This window comes from Homo sapiens, chromosome 3 (genome assembly GCF_000001405.40).
Source record: "Homo sapiens chromosome 3, GRCh38.p14 Primary Assembly".
Lineage (NCBI taxonomy): Eukaryota > Metazoa > Chordata > Mammalia > Primates > Hominidae > Homo > Homo sapiens.
Window position 1 is genome coordinate 47,160,504 of NC_000003.12, and position 17,875 is coordinate 47,178,378.

Sequence of the window (17,875 nt, forward strand, 5' to 3'; positions counted from 1 at the left end):
TTCACCATCTTGGCCAGGCTGGTCTCCAACCACTGACCTCAGGTGATCCACCCACCTCGGCCTCCAAAAGTGCTGGGATTACCGATGAAAGCCACCCCACTTGGCCAGAACATTCTATATCATTTATTATCACCCCTATTAGGATGTAAACTCCACAAGGGCAAAATTTTGTTTTGTACACCAATTACCCTTAGTGTGCCTATGTTTGGCATACAACAGACATGCATATGTTCAAAGACCTGCACCTCTATCACTGTAAAGTACTTGCCTATCTCCTTCATTAAAAGAGTTCCTTAAAGACTAACTGGATCTACTTTGCCGTGTCCTCAACACCTGTCCCTGGGCCTGCCCCATAATGGACACCCACTGCACAGATACTCAAGTGATTACAGCCATTTTCACCTGAAACACAATGTCCTCTATGCTGCTGAATAAAAAAGACATCTTGCAGCTGTGTCTGATTAAAAGCATGGGTACAAGACAAACCCAGAACATCAGACGCTAAGTGTTACTTCAGTCAAACTGAATTTACATTTTTGCCTCAATTTCTTCATATGTCTAAGTACCATTTCAAACCATCCAAAGTCTAAAAAGGGCACTTGGTCATTTCTCCCCTGAGCCATGTTGCCCACCTAGTCTTTTCATCCTCAACTTAAATCCTACCTTTTAACTTTTCCCTGATGACCCCAACTAGAAGCACTTACACGTGCCACATTCTGCGCCAAGTGCTCTTCATGCATTATCTCATTCAATCCTCCCAAAAAGCCCCAGTAAGTTGTTAACCATTATAATACCTATATAAAAGATGAGAAAACCCAAGTTCAGAGAGATGAAGTCATCGTCCAAGGTTAAAATAGTGTTCAGATTCAGGTCTGACTCTGAAATCCAGGTTTTTTAAACCCTATACTGCCTTTCTCTCTCCTCTCTCTAGCATTATAAACACTAACTAGCTTACTATCTCAAGAGTTTGCTGTCACTTCACTTCTCTAGCCTTCATTTTCTTCATATGCCAAACAGGTGATATTGCTCAGGATACCTACCATGATCCCCTCCAGTCTTTATAGTATTATGAAAAAAAGGAAAAACAAAACAACAACAACAAAAAACATGTTACAATTCTTTACTCCATACAGGTTAATACACAAGAAGAGGCCTGGCACAATGGCTCATGCCTGCAATCCCAGCACTTTGGGAGGCCAAGGCAGGAGGCTCACTTGAGGCCAGGGATTCAAAACCAGTAACGTAATTTATTTTTTTTTAATTAGCTGGGTGTGGTGACACATGCCTATAGTCCCAACCCAGGAGGCTGAGGCAGGAGGACTGCTTAAGCCCAGAGGTTCAAGGATGCAATGAGCCATGATGACACCACTGCACTCCAGCCTGGGTGACAGAGTGGGACCCTGCCTCTAAAAAAAAAAAAAAGGAAAAAATACACGAGAATTTAAAAATATATAATCACTGTTAGAAATCCAAAGCAGTGGATTTCTACTACATTAAAGCAATAAAAATAAAAACTCCAAAACATGTAAAACCATAAAACATTCTTGATTCCTTCCCCACTCAGGTCTACCAAAGATGCACTTCTGAGTCCATTTTCCCACATATTATGAAAAATTGTTTTTCCCCAAGAAGTGTAAGGATGTGATCCTTAAAGCTTCCGGACTTCACCAAACAACCTGGTAAAAGGAAGTGAAAGCAGGCACTTAGCCTATTCAGGGGTTAGCATGTTACTTTGTACAGAGCAAGTGCTATATAAGCATTTATTGAATCGTGATATAAAATTTTTTTTGAGGTTTTTCAAACTAAAAACCTATAACATGAGCTTTGTAATTGGACTGATGGTGCAGTAAATCAAAACAATCTTACCTAACTGACCCTGCCAGTAGCAAAACAAAAAGACCAATCTAATTAAGGTAATGTTAACCAATGGCCAAGAACCCATGAAAGGAAAAAGCCATGTTAACTTACTATTGCAAGTAAGAGTTGGGTTTTTAGAAAAGCAAAATAATGATTTATCTTGTTGTGCAGAAATGACCAACACCTCAACAGAATCCGTTTGTGTTGCAATCAAAACTATCAATTAAGATCCAGACATTTCTGGACCAATGTGAGAAGATGTGGCAAGGGATTCAAAAACGAGCCAGAGCAAACCTAAGGTAAAATGTGTCAAAACAGCAAAGCTCTTGGAATCATCCTGGTCATAAAAGTTTGACAGTTTCATGTGAAACCCCTATCAACCGATAAGTTTTAAATCAATAGTATATTCCTAGGTCTAACACCAGCAAACGGTGTTTAAGAACGGCTTTTCAAAACAATGGTCTCGTGAGGGTTCAGGGAAAGAAGTGACTCCAGGCTTTCTGAGATAGCAGATACAGCAGCAGATTCAGACCTCAAGAGAAATGTAAAGGTGTCCTAGACTGAAAAATTACTATTGGGCAAAACTGTGTGTCGGTTTTCCACAACATTGTCTTCTTTAGAGAATCCTCAAACGATTCTTGGTTTTTAACCAAGTCTTCACAAGAAATAGAAAGTCATCCGTTTAGGGTAAGAGATTCCTGTTACCAAGAAAATTGTGTCCGAAAGTGTGAAAATCTCACAACCTGCAAGAAAATGTATGTCCCTCAGGAGGCTTTCATTTTCAAGCGGAAAAACAAACCCGGTGTCACCTCAACAACGGGACCACACAAACCTCGCCATTACAAAACCCAAGTGCCAAAGGTGCACAATGTGAATCCGGAAGCACTGCAAGGCCAGGATCGAGTTCCCAGGAGGAAAAAATCAAACTCAGGAGTGCAGCGCGGGCCCCTCCACGGCCCGGGGGCCAGGCAACCCGCGCTAGGCCCTTCCGGTCCGAGGCGCCGCCGTCGCGGGGAGGTCGGGCGACGGGTCGAGCTTCCACCCGAGCCCGGGGATTCGCGGCCTACCCTCACCGGCGCCCTCTTGCCGGGCCCGGCACCGGCAGCTCCTCCGACTCTGCCCTTTGGCTAGCAGCGGGGCCCGGACGAGCCACGAGGAGCCCGAGAGGACCGCCGAGCCCCGGGATGGCCGGGTCGGTGCGGACACGGCGGTAACCGTAGGGACCGTGGCCGCCCCTCCCCCACCGGCCCGGCCCAACCGCCGCCGCGACACGAGCAGCGGCGCCAACGCCGGGCCCAACCGCGGGCCTGCTGCGGCCCCGGCCAAGCGGCTCGAAGTGGCGGCGCGGGCCTGCTCCCGACACCGACCGCGCGAGGCCACCGTGGGCCTGTTACTCCTCGCGCCGGCCCGCGCCGCCACCCGTCAGGACGCGCCGCCCTCGGCTGGGGATAAGGCGGCCGACAGCAGCGGGGGGCCGCGGAGCTGATACTTACTCAGGGGTCGGGTGCTCCGGGTCGTAGAAATCCCCCATCTTCGGAGGCGGCTGCGGCTGCAGCTGCTTCATCGGGAGCGGCTGGAGACGGCGACGCGAGCCCCCTCCCCGCAGCAGGGCGACGCGGGGGAGGGGAGGGGAGGAGGCCGCAGGTCCGACCGCGGCGGCGGCGGCGGCGGCGGCGGCGGCGGCAGGGGCGGCCCGCGTCGCTACCTCGCTCGTCGCTCCCTCCCTCCCTCGGACGCCCGCCAGCCGCTCTCTCCCTCTCACCCTCACACCGGGAGCGACGCACACCCCACCCGCCCCTCAGCTTCGCAGGCCCGGCCCCTTAAAGAGACACACACGGGCCACCGATCTGCCGCCAGTCGGCGTGCCTTGCAGCTGTTGGCTTGACCCCAGGCCGGGACGGGCAGAGCGGAACACTGCCCGGCGGGTCCAGGCCGACCGTGCCTGTGGCTCTCCGGAACAATAAACCCCCGGCCCCAGTGATGTGGGCCAGACCGGACCTGGAGAGGCGGCACCGCGACCCCTCCCGCAACCCGCCTGGCGGCCGGGGGCAGCGTGACCCGGCCCGCTACCGTGTCACAGCTGGCGACTGACAAACAGCAGGCGACGTCGGGAGAACTCCCCGAGACACCCGAGACATCAGCCTTCTCGCTCCGCGGCCCTGCAGGACCTGCCCGCCGGGAGCCCCGGAGTCCGCGGCAGCGCCGAGGGCCCCTCCCCCAGGCCTCTGGGCTCTGAGGTAACGCGGCCGCGGCTGCTCCCGGGCCCCTCGTCCCACTCGCCCCTCTCTTTTTTATTTTTCCTCGCCCTCTCTCTCCCTTGCCCGTTCATCTCGACCCTTTAGCAAGCATGGAAGCCCAGCGAGGCGGGGGATTGCTCGGAGGCCGAGCTCCCGGCAGCCTCCTCCGCCTTCCTTCCCGCTGTGCCCTCGGGGCTCCTACCTCCACCTCGGCGCGGCGCTCTGCCCCCACCCGAAGTCTCCAAGGCGGCAGCTCCCCTCTCCTGTGTGGTTCTTGGGGCCTTAGAGGCAATGTCATGAAAAAAAGGGTATTAATCACTTTCCTACAGAAATGATAAGATGAGACTAAGTAGAATAACTTGAAAGAGCTACGAGTTGTTATTTTTGGAAGGAGAGATAGGAACGCGTAAATCCAATAGCTAAACTTTCTAGACGCTGAAGAGTTTTTGGCGATAGATCATTTTGACATTGGGGGTTCATAGGGTTAGCGTTTTTTGTGTTGTTGTTGCTGTTGTTTTTCCACTAGAATTTTGAATCGGATTTTACCAGCAATTGGTAACGGAAAGGAAAGGATGTGTCTTCCAATTGAGAAACAGTGGTTAAAAACTGAAAGTGGGCCGGGCGCGGTGGTTCACGCCTGTAATCCCAGCACTTTAGGAGGCCGAGGCGGGCGGAGTAACTGAGGTCAAGAGTTCCAGACCACACTGGCCAACATGGCGAAACCCCATCTCTACTAAAAATACAAAATTTAGCCGGGCGTGGTGGCGCACGGCTGTAATTCCAGGTACGCGGGAGGCTGAAGCAGGAGAATCGCTTGAACCCAGGAGGCGGAGGTTGCAGTAAGCCCAGATTGTGCCACTGCACTCCAGCCTGGCGACAGAGCAAGACTCCATCTCAAAAAAATAAATAAATGAATGAAAATAAAAAATAAATTAGCTGGGCGTGGTGGTGCGCCTGTAATCCCAGCTACTCGGGAGGCTGAGGCAGGAGAATCGCTTGAACCCAGGAGGCGGAGGTTGTAGTGAGCCCAGATCGCACCATTGCACTCCAGCCTGGGCGATATAGCGAGACTCCGTCTCAAAAAAATAAAACAACAACAACAAAAAAAAACTGAAATATGATACGAAAGAATAAACATCCTTCAGTGGTTAACTTTTTAAAATAGCCTTTATATGTATGTAGGCTACAGTGTCTATTAGTGTTTTATAATCATTGTTTTTCACTTAGGGATTATTTTGGCTTTTGTTTTTTTTTTTCCTGGTACCTTTAGGGTTAGCATGGAGGTCCAGGGTCCATCTGACTCCCTAGGTTCGAATCTCCCAAGGCCATTTTTTTACACACCGTGATTATTACTAATTTCCCTGTGGTTTTTCTCATTATAAAATGAGAATATTGCTGCCGACAGGTCTTCTCATTATTGTGAGGATTAAATGAGCTATTTGTTAAAGGCTTAAACTTTCAGTAAACGTCAGCATTCTTCAGCCATGATAGTGCAGAGTTTAAGAGGTAGCTCTACCTGGCATTGTGTACCAGGCACTTTCTAGCCCTGTGACATTGGGATGCTTGCTTCTTATGCTTCCCGTGCCTCACCTGTAAATGGGGTATTAGCCACTGTGCAGAGAATGTTGTGAACATGCTTGCACAGTGCCTTTCATTGAGTAAGTGCCCAGTAAGTGTTATCTTTTGGGCTTTGAAAGAATAGATTGAGGCCCTGTGCCTTAGATGCCACATAGGCAATTGGGAGTCACTTGACCTTGGACAGGCAGGAAAGGACAATTTTAGGTGGAGGTGGTTGAAACAATGTGAGGTGGTAAGGACCTAAGCTGAGGTGAATGAGAAAAAAGCAGTCAGGTGCAGGTTTCCTATTTCCTTAATAAGAAAGTAAGCAATTCTCTTGCAGGAGGTACAGCTGGGCACTGGAATGCCTGGTCTCATGATAGCATTGGTTTGGTCAGAACCCAGTGCAATAAGCTTGTCAAGCCATGGGAATCAGTGAGAATTCTAAGCCCCAAACAGAAACAAATGAACTGGGTTTTTACAGGCAGTGCCTTCATCTATAACTGCACTCAGAGTTCTTTGGACTCATATTTTTAAGTCAAAGAGAATGCATGCTTGGAGCACGTACTTGGGCCTGGCCTCCTGATCAAAGCTGTGGAATAATTTGGTTTTTCATGTTATTAAATACTGACCATCCCCTACTTTCTGCACATGTTTAAAGGAAAAATGTCTAAAAAGCCCTAGCATGAAATATTTGAGGCATTCACTCCCAGAGTGCTAAAATCGTAAAAGCCTTTATAATTTCAGCTGGGTGTGATGGGATCATGCCTGTAATCCCATCACTTTGGGAGGCTGAGGCAGGTGGGTCACCTGAGGCTGGGAGTTCAAGACCAGCCTAACCAACATGGAGAAACCCGGTCTCTACTAAAAATACAAAAATTAGCCCGGCGTGGTGGCACATGTCTAATACCAGCTACTAGGGAGGCTGAGGCAGGAGAATCACTTGAACCTGGGAGGCGGAGGTTGCAGTGAGCCGAGATCATGCCATTCCACACCAGCCTGGGCAACAAGAGCGAAACTCATCTCAAAAAAATATATATATATTTATACTTTCTCCTACTGTTACTGTCTCCTGTGGGTCAAGACCAACCCTATCCCAGGAGATTCCAGGGTTGCCAGTAGTGACCCTGAAACAAAATCATCTCTTGCCTTAGGGAAGACAAAGGCCAAAAGCCTACTCTCCACAGGTAGGCTTCGGGTACCTGGTAAGGGTAGTAGAAAGAAGAAATGTAGACCGGGTGCGGTGGCTGACGCCTGTAATCCCAGTACTTTGAGAGGCCAAGGCAGGCGAATCACCTGAAGTCAGGAGTTCGAGACCAGTCTGACCAACATGGAGAAACCTGGTCTCTACTAAAAATACAAAATTAGCCGGATGTGGTGGCACATGCCTGTAATCCCAGCTACTCTGGAGGATGAGGCAGAAGAATCGCTTGAACTCTGGGAGGCGGAGGTTGCGATGATGAGCTAAGATCGCGCCACTGCACCCCAGCCTAGGCAACAACAGCAAAACTCCATCTCAAAAAAAAAAAGAAATGTAGGTCGGGCACAGTGGCTCATGCCTATAATCCCAGCACTTTGGGAGGCCGAGGAAGGCAGATCACTTGAGGTCAGGAGTTCAAGACCAGCCTGGCCAATACGGTGAAACCCCATCTCTACTAAAAATACAAAAATTAGCTAGGCATGGTGGCGCACGCCTATAATCCCAGCTACTCGGGAGGCTGAGGCAGGAGAATTGCTTGAGCCCGGGGTGGGGGGTGGAAGTTGCAGTGAACAGAGATCGCATCACTGCACTCCAGCCTGGGCAACAAGAGTGAGACTCAGTCTCAAACAAAAAAAATGAATAAAATAAATAAATATGTATTTTCTCCTCTGTAGCACAGAAACATTTACTATCAACATCTTAGCATTTTGGGGAGCGGGAAATGAGATAATGTCTGACAAAGTACCTAATGCCTGTAAACTAATAGCCATACAACAAAAAATTGGCTACCTTATAAATTTAGGTAGATATATGAGGCTCAATACAATTGAAGATTTAGATTTAGTCAGTATACAGAATAAAGGCAGCATAATTTAGAATAAATTACTCATTCACATAAGTTTTGTTATATTGTTATAACTGTTTTATTAACTACTGTTAATCTCTTAGTGTGCCTAATTTATAAATTAAACATCATAAGTATGTATGTATAGGAAAAAACAAAGTATATTTAGGGTTCCAGGCATCCACCAGGGGTCTTGGGACCTATCCCTTGTAGATAAGGTGGGGACTACTGTAATTACAACTTTTTTTTTTTTTTTTTTTTTTTTTTTTTGAGATGGAGTCTCGCTCTGTCGCCCAGGCTGGAGTGCAGTGGTGCGATCTCAGCTCACTGCAAGCTCCGCCTCCCGGGTTCATGCCATTCTCCTGCCTCAGCCTCCCAAGTAGCTGGGACCACAGGCACCCGCCACCATGCCCGGCTAATTTTTTGGATATTTAGTAGAGATGGGGTTTCACCGTGTTAGCCAGGATGGTCTCGATCTCCTGACCTTGTGACCCACCCACCTTGGCGTCCCAAAGTACTGGGATTACAGGCATGAGCTACCGCACCCAGCCTAATTACAACTTATTTTTATTCCTATTCATTCTGCACATCCCAACACAAGGCAAGAAGAATCTAGAAAACAATGCACAACCTACATTGAGCTCCACCTCCTATAATTCCTATTAGATGTTATTTGTATCAAGTCAGCACCCTCCTACATAGTATTATTATACTCTGTAGTTGTTTTTCCTATACAGATAATCTTTCTGTTACATATTGCTTTGTTAACAGATTTTAATTACATAATATATCTATCTTACCAACTTTATAAGTTTGTTGTAGGCAGAAGCAATCTGTCTTTCCTATTTTATAGTGTTTGAGGCTGTAGGTAGCAAGTGTTGAATGAATAACTACTTTGTTACTTCTGAAAAGCTTACTTTTTGATTAATACTTTTCCTTTTTACCAATTCCTTTTTCTTTTTTTTTCAGGCTCATCCATGGAATACCAATTCTTTTTCTTAGTGTTCACATTGGATTTTTCTGTTAAAAATAGATTGTTGGAGTTGGCTAACAAGTTGATTACTTCCAGTCAGGCACTCTCTTCTGTAAAGTCTCTTTTGTAAACTCCTACAAGCAGCTATTTCACTGGATTTGAAAAGACTGACTAAAAAGAACCATGCACTGTAACTCTCAAGTATACAGGAATATTGTTATTAGGTAATTTTTTTTTTCAATATGTGTTAACCTTGTCTTCCCTACAATTTTCTTTTTCTTTTTTTTTTTTTTTTGAGATGGAATCTCACTCTGTCGCCCAGGCTGGAGTGCGGTGGCACAATCTCAGCTCACTGCAACCTCTACTGCCTGGGTTCAAGCGATTCTCCTGCCTCAGCCTCCTGAGTAGCTGGGATTACAGACGCGCGCCACCATACCCAGCTAATTTTTTGTATCTTTAGTAGAGACGGGGTTTCACCATCTTGGCCAGGCTGGTCTTGAACTCCTGACCTTGTGATCCACCCGCCTCAGCCTCCCAAAGTGCTGGGATTACAGGCATGAGCCACGGCGCCCAGCCTCCCTACAGTTTTCAAACATTCAGAGAGGTGATTATGGTGTATCTTTTATTCTGTTTTGCTTTGGATCTTGGCGTTCTTCTAGAGAACTCATCTGCTCAGGAGCTTCTCAGTGCATCTTCCCTCCCAAACTTGTCTTACCCAGCAGAGAATGAATGTACTCAAGATTACCAGTTTTGCAGATGAATAAACCAATGATTCCAGAGGTTATGGTGCATATCTAGAGTCACATGACTAAGAAATGATAAAACCAGGATTTCAGCCAGGTTATCTGTTTCAAGACATTTTCAGACAAAAAAATCTGGAGTTTGCCACCAACAAGAAATGATCCTAGCCTCAGCATCTCAGCCCACACTGGGAGTGTCAGGTGCTGAAAAAAAATTTTTTTAATTTTACATAGTAAATAATTTTATAAAAAAGAAAGAAATGATCCCTTATACAAGAAGGAATGATAAAAATATTAGTAAATAAGTGGTTAAAACTAAAAACTTTTTACCATACAAAGTAATAGTAAGTAATTTGTGTGGTTAATAAGGTAAAGCAAGATGGAACTGATACTCTGGACAACAAAGTCATATATTTAGAAGCAGGATGAGTGGAGTGATGGTTGGAGTTGAAGTTTTCCAAGGTCCTGGTATTGTTTGGGAAGTGGGTAAAAATATTGATTAACTTTAACCTTTACTCTTTTAAGTGTATAAGATAAAATATGTAGGGTAACTGCTTTTCCAAATTAACAGAAGAAAATAGAATAAAGAAAAATACAAAAAAAAAGGCCGAGCATGGTGGCTCACGCCTGTAATCCCAGCACTTTGAGATGCTGAGGCGGAAGGATTGCTTGAGACCAGGAGTTTAAGACCAGCCTGTGCAACATAGCCAGACTCCCTCCCAGCTCTACAAAAAACAAAAGAGATTAGCCAGCTGTGGTGGTGCACACCTATAGTCCCAGCTACTTGGGAGGCTGAGGCAGGGGGAATACATTTCAGTTTTAAAGAGTGCAAAATGGACAAGAAAATAAAACTTAGGCCAGGTATGGTGGCTCACGCCTGTAATCCCAGCACTTTGGGAGGCTCAGGCAGGTGAATTGCTTTAACTAAGGGGCTCAAGACCACCCTGGACAACATGATGAAACCCCATCTCTACCTAAAATACAAAAAAATTGGCTGGGTGCGGTGGCTCACACCTGTAATCCTAGCACTTTGGGAGGCTGAGATGGGCAGATCACCTGAGGTCAAGAGTTCAAGACCAGCCTGCCCAACATGGCAAAACCCCATCTCTACTAAAAATACAAAAATTACCCGGGCATGCTGGCATGTGCCTGTAATCCCAGCTACTTAGGAGGTTGAGGCAGGAGAATCACTTGAACTCAGGAGACGGAGGTTGCAGTGAGCCGAGATCACGCCACTGCACTCCAGCCAGAGCAAGACTCCATCTCAAAAAAATTAGCCAGACATCATGGCACATGCCTGTGGTCCCAGCTAGTCAGGAGGCTGAAGTGGGAGGATCTCTTGAGCCCAGGAGTTCAAAGTTACGGTGAGCAATGATCTTGCCACTGTACACCAGCCTAGATCACAAAGCAAGACTGTCTCTTTTAAAAAAAAAAGGCCAGGCATGGTGTCTCACACCTATAATCCTAGCACTTTGGGAGGCTGAGGTGGGCGGATTACTTGAAGTCAGGAGTTCGAGATCAGCCTGGCCAGCATGGTGAAACCCCTTCTCTACTAAAAATACAAAAATTAGCTAGGCATGGTTGCATGCACCTGTAGTCCCAGCTATTTGGGAGGCTGAAGCATGAGAATCGCTTGAACCTGGGAGGCAGAGTTTGCAGTGAGCTGAGATTATGCCACTGCGCTCCAGCCTGGGCAACAGAGCAAGATCCTGTCTCAACAAAAAACCATTTCACCTCTTTATGTGGCTTCTAGAAAATTTAAAATCACATTTGTGACTTCCATTTTATTTCTCTTGGACAGCACTGATCTAGGATATATATAGAACTAATGTAAGTGAATAAGAGAAAGACAACCCAGCTTTTTAAATTGGTAAATACCTCAGAAGAGGAAAAATTAATGTCCAGGAAACATTTGAAAAGCTGTTTCAGGGAAATCAGGGTGCTGGTCAGAGTGTTAATTGATACAATCATTTTGGAAAACAAGTTGGTTGGCATTACCTAGTAGAGTTGCATATGGGCATATCTTAAAACCCAACAATTGTTCTTAGATATACAAATTAAAACTCTTGCAAATATACACCAAAAGACATGTCTAGGAATGTCTGTAGCAGTATTGGCAAATGGGCAAATGTCTATCAACTATAGTATATATAATGAACTACTATTAAACAGCTTAAAAGGCAGGGTTTTGCATTTGTTGCTGAGGCAGGAGTATCACCTCAAACACTTGGGCTCAAGCGATCTTCCCACCTCAGTCACCCAAGTAGCTGGGACCACAGGTGTACTCCACCATGCCTGGATTTTTTTTTCCCCTGTCTTATGGTGCTGATGTATAATTGTTTTTTAGTTTTTTTAGAAACAGGGTCTCGCTATGTTGCCCAGGTTGGTCTTGAACTCCTGGCCTCAAGTGATCTTCCCACACTGGTGTCCCAAAGCATTGGGATTACAAGCATGTGCCACCAAGCCTGGCCATAACTGAAATTTTCAGCTATGCCTACCAAAATGGTAAAGTCTTGGGGACATAATAATGAACAGGAAATAAAAGGCATAGAATGTTTTTCCATTTATGTAAAGTTTTAAGAGTCAAAATTAAACAACAGATGGTGTTGAGAAATATGGTAAAACTATAACCAAGAGAAAGGTAAAGAAAAATTTTAGGATAGTTTTGGTTTGGTTTGGTTTTCCTTTCTGAACAGGAAAAGGGATTATATAGGGGACACCCAGGAGGCCTCAGAGCACAGGTAAATTTGTATTTCTTAAACTAGTTAGTAAGTGGACAGATATTTGTTTTGTTATTTTGTCTACACTAGATGTAATGAATGTTATTTATATCTATTTATTATTCCGTAACAACTATGTGTGTGCGTCCTTTGACCCAGCAAATTCTATTTCTAAAATTTTGGTTCACGGAAATAAAAGCACTCGTACATAGACTAAATGTACAAATTAATGGTATAATTTGTGGTGGGAGAAATGAAGTGAATGCTCATAAATAAGGGAATGGGTGAATATATTTTGGAACATCCATACAGAGGAGTATTATACTGTCATTAAAAAGAATTGAGTTTGCCAGACATGGTGGCTGACAACTGTAATCCCAGAACTTTGGGAGGCTGATGTAGGAGGATCACTTGAGCTCAGGAGTTGGACACCAGCCTGGGCAACATAACAGGACTTCATCTCTACTAAAAATAAAAAATTAGCTGGGTATAGGGTCATACACCTATAGTCCCAGCTACTCAAGAGGTTGAGGTGGGCGGATTGCTTGAGCCCAGGAGATGGAGGCTGCAGTGAGGCAAGATCGCGCCACTGCACTCCAGTCTGGACAACAGAGCAAGACCATGTCTCAAAAAATAAATAAATACATAATAAGTATATGCATATGTATTTAGATATCTATTAAGAAATTAGGCCGGGCGCAGTGGCTCACGCCCATAATCCCACCACTTTGGGAGGCCAAGGCAGGCGAATCATCTGAGGTCAGGAGTTTGAGACCAGCCTGGCCAACATGCCAAAACCCTGTCTCTACTAAAAATACAAAAATTAACCGGGCATGGCACGCGCTGGTAATCCCAGCTAGTCGGGAGGCTGAGGAAGAAGAATCACTTGAACCCAGGAGGCAGAGGTTGAGTGAGCCAAGATCACACCACTGCACTCCAGCCTGGGCAACAGAGTAAGATTCCGTCTTAAAAAAAACAAAACAAAACAAAACAAAACCCTCACACTATATTCCAAATCCTGAAATAAGAAACAAATTTGCAAATTAAGAAATTATGGATTAACTTATTGATTATTGCTCAGAAAACGTACCTTATTTTTACTCTGAAATTCACTTTATTTATAATACTTTAAAACAATTTAGCTAAAGTAGTGTTTATAGGATGTTACTTCTCTGGTTAGACATGTTTCACACAACAGTTTTCAATGCTGAAAATTCATTTGATAATTTTAATCACAATTTATGATTGATTGATGGATTAATCAGTAATTTAGATGCCATAAGAACCATTGAAAGGAATAATCTGACTATTGCTCATTGTACAATCTTGATCATTAGTTATAAGCCAAGAATCTGATATCCCACTCTTGAATTACATTTTTCAATGTGTGTATTTGGTCAACAACAGGTCACAGTGAGCCGAGATCATGCCACTCCACTCCAGCCTGGGTGACAGAGCAAGACTCCATTTCAAAAAAAAAAAAAACTGAAAATACCAAATATTGACAAGGATTTGGAGCAAGTGGAACCCTCATACATTGCTGATGGAAATGCAAAATTATACAGCCAATTTGGAAAAATAACTGGGTGTGGTGGTGTGCACCTATTTTTCCAACAACTTGGGAGACTAAGGTAGGAAGATCCCTTGAGCCCAGGAGTTTGAGGTTACAGTGAGCTGATGGCGCCACGGCTCTCCAGCCTGGGTGACAAAATAAAACTGTTTCAAAAAAAAGAAAAAAAAATGATGCTATAAGAAAAAAACTATATACCAATGTCCTTCATTAACATAGATACAAAATGTTTAATCACAATTTTAGCAAATTGAATCCAACTGTCTCCCCCACCCCCACATCTATCTATATATCTATATTTGTTTGTTTGTTTTGAGACGGAGTTTTGCTCCTGTTGCCCAGGCTGGACTGCAATGGCATGATCTCGGCTCACTGCAACCTCCACCTCCTGGGTTCAAGTGATTCTCCTGCCTCAGCCTCCCGAGTAGCAGGGATTACAGGCATGCCCCACCACGCCTGGCTAATTTTGTATTTTTAGTAGAAACGGGGTTTCACCATGTTGGACAGGCTGGTCTCAAACTTCTGACTTCAAGTGATCCGCCCGCCTCATCCTCCCAAAGTGTTGGGATTACAGGCGTGAGCCACTGCATCCGGCCTTGTTTTTTTGTTGTTGTTTTTTTTTGAGACAGGGTCTTGGTCTGTCACCCAGGCCAGAGCGAGTCTCATGGTTCACTGTAACCTCCGCCTCCTGGGATCAAGGAATCCCACCTCGGCCTCCTGAGTAGCTGGGACTATAGGCACAAGCCACCACGCCTAGCTAGTTTTTGTTTTGTTTTGTTTGATTTGGTTGGTTGTTTTTTTCTTTTTGTTTTTGTTTTTGTAGAGATGGCGTTTTGCCATGTTGCCCAGGGTGGTATCAAACTCCTAGGCTCGAGTGATCCACCCACTTCAGCTTCCCAAAAGGCTAGGATTGTAATCACATCTGTAGGCATGAGCCACCACGCCTGATAAATCTAACAATACATTAAACGTAAAATACCAGGCCAGGTGCAGTGGCTCACACCTGTAATCCCAGCAGTTTGGGAGGCCAAGGCGGGTGGATCACCTGAGATCAGGAGTTCAAGACCAGCCTGACCAACATGGTGAAACCCCATCTCTACTAAAAATACAAAAATTAGCTGGGCATGGTGGCACACGCCTGTGGTCCCAGCTACTCGGGAGGCTGAGGTGGGAGAAGGGACTAGCCTTGTCTCAGATGAGTCTTTGGACTTCTGAGTTAATGCTGGAATAAGTTAAGACTCTGAGGGACTATTGGGAACACATAATTGTATTTTGCAATGTGAGAGGGACATGAGATTTAGTGGGGCCATGGGTGGAATGATATGATTTGGGTCTGTGTCCCCACTAAATCTCATGTCGAATCCCCAGTGTTAGAAGTGGGGCCTGGTAGGAGGTGATTAGATTATGGGGATGGTTTCTCATGAATTGCTTAGTACCATGCCCCCTTGTGAGTTCTCACAACATCTGGTTGTTTAAAAGTGTGTAGCACCTCCCCACCCTCTCTCTTGGTCTAGCTCCTGCCATATAAAATGCCGGCTCCTGCTTTGCCTTTCACCATGAGTAAAAGCCTCCTGAGACCTTCTCAGAAACAGATGCTGCCATCCTTCCTGTACAGCCTGCAGTACCGTGAGCAAAATAAGCCTCTTTTGTCTATAAATTACCTAGTCTCAGGTATTTATTTATAGCAATGTAAGAAAGAACTAATACAAGTGGTTTCACTTCTTATAGCCTAAAACTACCTAGCATGCCTTTGAAATTGCAACTGCTTTCTATTTCTTATAATTCAGACTTGTCTTTTCATTTGTGACCAATTCCTGTTATTTCAAAACCAAAGAGTGCATGAGGGTGAATTATATTACCCTGAAGAGATGAGACAATGACTCTGTCTGAACCATTCAGCTGGTCTAGGTGACTAGAGACTGCAGAGATGTCAGGACTGTTGCCTAGGACACAAAGCAGACTTACAGGGCATTCCTCACTGAAAGAACATTTTAGGGACACTTACTTATCCAGAAAGGCATAAATAAGGAACTGGTAACCCTGATAACTTGAGAACCCTACTGCTACCTGGTGATTAGAGGCAGTCTGAGACACATAAGAGAGTGGTTCAGGCCAGGAGTGGTGGTTCACACCTGTAATCCCAGCACTTTGGGAGGCCAAGGTGGGTGGATTGCTTGAGATCAGGAGTTTGAGACCAGCCTGGCCAGCATGGCGAAACCCCCCTCTACTAAAAATACCGAAGTTAGCCAGGTGTGGTGGCACATGCCTGTGATCCCAGCTACTTGGGAGGCTGAGGCACGAGAATCACTTGAACCCGGGAGGTGGAGTTTGCAATGATCCAAGATCATGCCACTGGACTCCAGCCAGAGCAACACAGTGACACTCTGTCTCAAAAATATATATATATATTTTGGGACCTGGACAGGTGACCATGGTGAGACCTTTGAAGACATATGTATGTCCATAGCATGCATATGTCTTTGAACTGTGTATCTTGAAGTAATGTTATGTTAAATTATGTAATAGATAATCATAAAGTGTCTGAGTCATTTCTAAGTAAGTTAAAATGCTGAGATATCAATTTAATCTTTTAGTTTTTTGTTGTTGACTTTAGACATCTAGAAATATAAAGCATAATCAATTTAAGAATAAAAAATACGGCCTGGGTACAGTGGCTCATGCCTATAATCCCAGCACTTTGGGAGGCCGATGCGGGCAGATCGCTTGAGTCCAGGAGACCAGCTCGGTAACATGGAGAAACCCTGTCTCTACAAAAAATATAAAAAATTAGCCAGGTGTAATGGCAGGTGGGTGTGGTAGTATGCGCCTATAGCCCCAGCTACTAGGGAAGCTGAGGTCAGATGATCACTTGAGCCTGGGAGGTGTAGGTTGCAGTGAGCCAAGATTGTGTCACTGCCCTCCAGCCTGGGCAACAGAGTGAGACCCTGTCTCAAAAAGCAAAAACTATGCAAATAAGGACAATTATTAACAAAACAATCTGAAATCCGTATCTGAAAAGTGTTTCTGGCCAGGCGTGGCTCACGCCTGTGATCCCAACATTTTGGGAGGCCGAGGTGAGTGGATCACTTGACACCAGGAGTTGAAGACCAGCCTGGCCAACATGGTGAAACCCTGTCTCTACTCAAAATACAAAAATTAGCCAGGTGTGGTGGTGCATGCCTGTAATCCCAGCTACTTCTTAGGAGGCTAAGGCAGGATAATCGCTTGAACCCGGGAGGCAGAGGCTGCAGTGAGCCGAGACTGTGCCACTGCACTCCAGCCTGGGTGACAGAGCGAGACCCTGTCACAAAAAAAAAAAAAAAAAAAAAAAGTGTTTCTAAAGGTAACCAGGCCAGGCACAGTGGCTTGCCTAGGCCTACCAGCTGCAGGGCAGGTTACAGCTAGTGGCCCAAGCTCTGGGATAAAATATTAATCAATATTAATGATACTTAGTCTTTTAAGCTTAAGCTTATATACTTTGTTGTCTTTATGGTTTAACAAAGCTAAATATATTTCAATCTGTTAATAAAAATGGAAGAAACATCTTTAAAAAATTATGAAGTAATTTTCATCTACAAATATTGACAAAAAAGTTCAAAATTACTTTCTAGGTTTTTCACTAGAAATTAGGTTACTAAAAGTTAAAATTATAGTAAATATATATATTAAAACTACTAGGCTGGGCCTGGTGGCTCGTGCCTGTAATCCCAGCACTTTGGGAGGCCGAGGCAGGTGGATCACCTGAGGTCAGGAGTTCAAGACCAGCCTGGCCAACATGGTGAAACCCCGTCTCTACTAAAATAAAAAAATTAGCTGGGAGTGGTGGCAGGTGCCTGTAATCCCATAATCCCAGTTACTTGGGAGGCTGAGGCAGGAGAATCGCTTGAACCTAGTAGGTGGAGGCTGCAGTAAGCAGAGATTGCGCCACTGCACTCCAGCCTGGGAGAGCAAGACTCTGTCTCAAAAACAAACAAAAAAAATTTCTAGCTATAAGAGAAACAATTCTGTGTACACAGCATTTAAAAACCAAATGTGTCTTTGGTAAAGAAGATTATAAAGAAGGCATGAGAATGTAGTTTTTCTTAAAGGAAAAGTACTTTTGTCTAGAGATTCCTAAAGATTATTTTAAGTTGAAAGGATAAGAAAGAATGATAGATAAAACTAAATGGAGGCCAG

General features: G+C 44.9%; 1 protein-coding gene and 1 long non-coding RNA gene across 7 annotated transcripts in view, besides 4 other annotated features; one reads left to right on the forward strand and one right to left on the reverse strand.

Annotated features, from left to right (window-relative positions):
- Window positions 1-4,337, reverse strand: part of SETD2 (SET domain containing 2, histone lysine methyltransferase) — a 148,405-nt gene extending 144,068 nt beyond the window's left edge. For 3 of the 6 annotated variants that reach the window (NR_146158.3, NM_001349370.3, NM_014159.7), the window contains exon 1: window positions 3,351-3,610. Coding sequence is in view for 1 of the 6 variants with exons in the window: in NM_014159.7 (NP_054878.5) it covers window positions 3,351-3,421 (71 nt within the window). In the remaining 5 variants the exon portion in view is untranslated. Of the gene's footprint in view, window positions 1-3,350; window positions 3,611-4,296 lie in introns of those variants that run through there. The other 3 variants (XR_007095673.1, XM_024453487.2, XM_047448045.1) reach the window with 1 other exon arrangement.
- Window positions 2,903-3,212: a silencer, noted in NCBI's record as "silent region_14305". NCBI's record gives its function as "represses an Ori minimal core promoter by ATAC-STARR-seq in GM12878 lymphoblastoid cells {active_cell/tissue: GM12878}" and the evidence as "EXISTENCE:reporter gene assay evidence [ECO:0000049][PMID:35858748]".
- Window positions 3,263-4,012: a silencer, noted in NCBI's record as "silent region_14306". NCBI's record gives its function as "represses an Ori minimal core promoter by ATAC-STARR-seq in GM12878 lymphoblastoid cells {active_cell/tissue: GM12878}" and the evidence as "EXISTENCE:reporter gene assay evidence [ECO:0000049][PMID:35858748]".
- KIF9-AS1 (KIF9 antisense RNA 1) overlaps window positions 3,867-17,875 on the forward strand; it is a 79,747-nt gene continuing 65,738 nt past the window's right edge. Inside the window, exons 1-2 of the long non-coding RNA NR_033373.1 lie at window positions 3,867-4,094; window positions 8,666-8,893. This is a non-coding gene — a long non-coding RNA (KIF9 antisense RNA 1). The remainder of the gene's footprint in view (window positions 4,095-8,665; window positions 8,894-17,875) is intronic.
- Window positions 4,063-4,112: a silencer, noted in NCBI's record as "silent region_14307". NCBI's record gives its function as "represses an Ori minimal core promoter by ATAC-STARR-seq in GM12878 lymphoblastoid cells {active_cell/tissue: GM12878}" and the evidence as "EXISTENCE:reporter gene assay evidence [ECO:0000049][PMID:35858748]".
- Window positions 15,247-15,306: an enhancer, noted in NCBI's record as "active region_19809". NCBI's record gives its function as "activates an Ori minimal core promoter by ATAC-STARR-seq in GM12878 lymphoblastoid cells {active_cell/tissue: GM12878}" and the evidence as "EXISTENCE:reporter gene assay evidence [ECO:0000049][PMID:35858748]".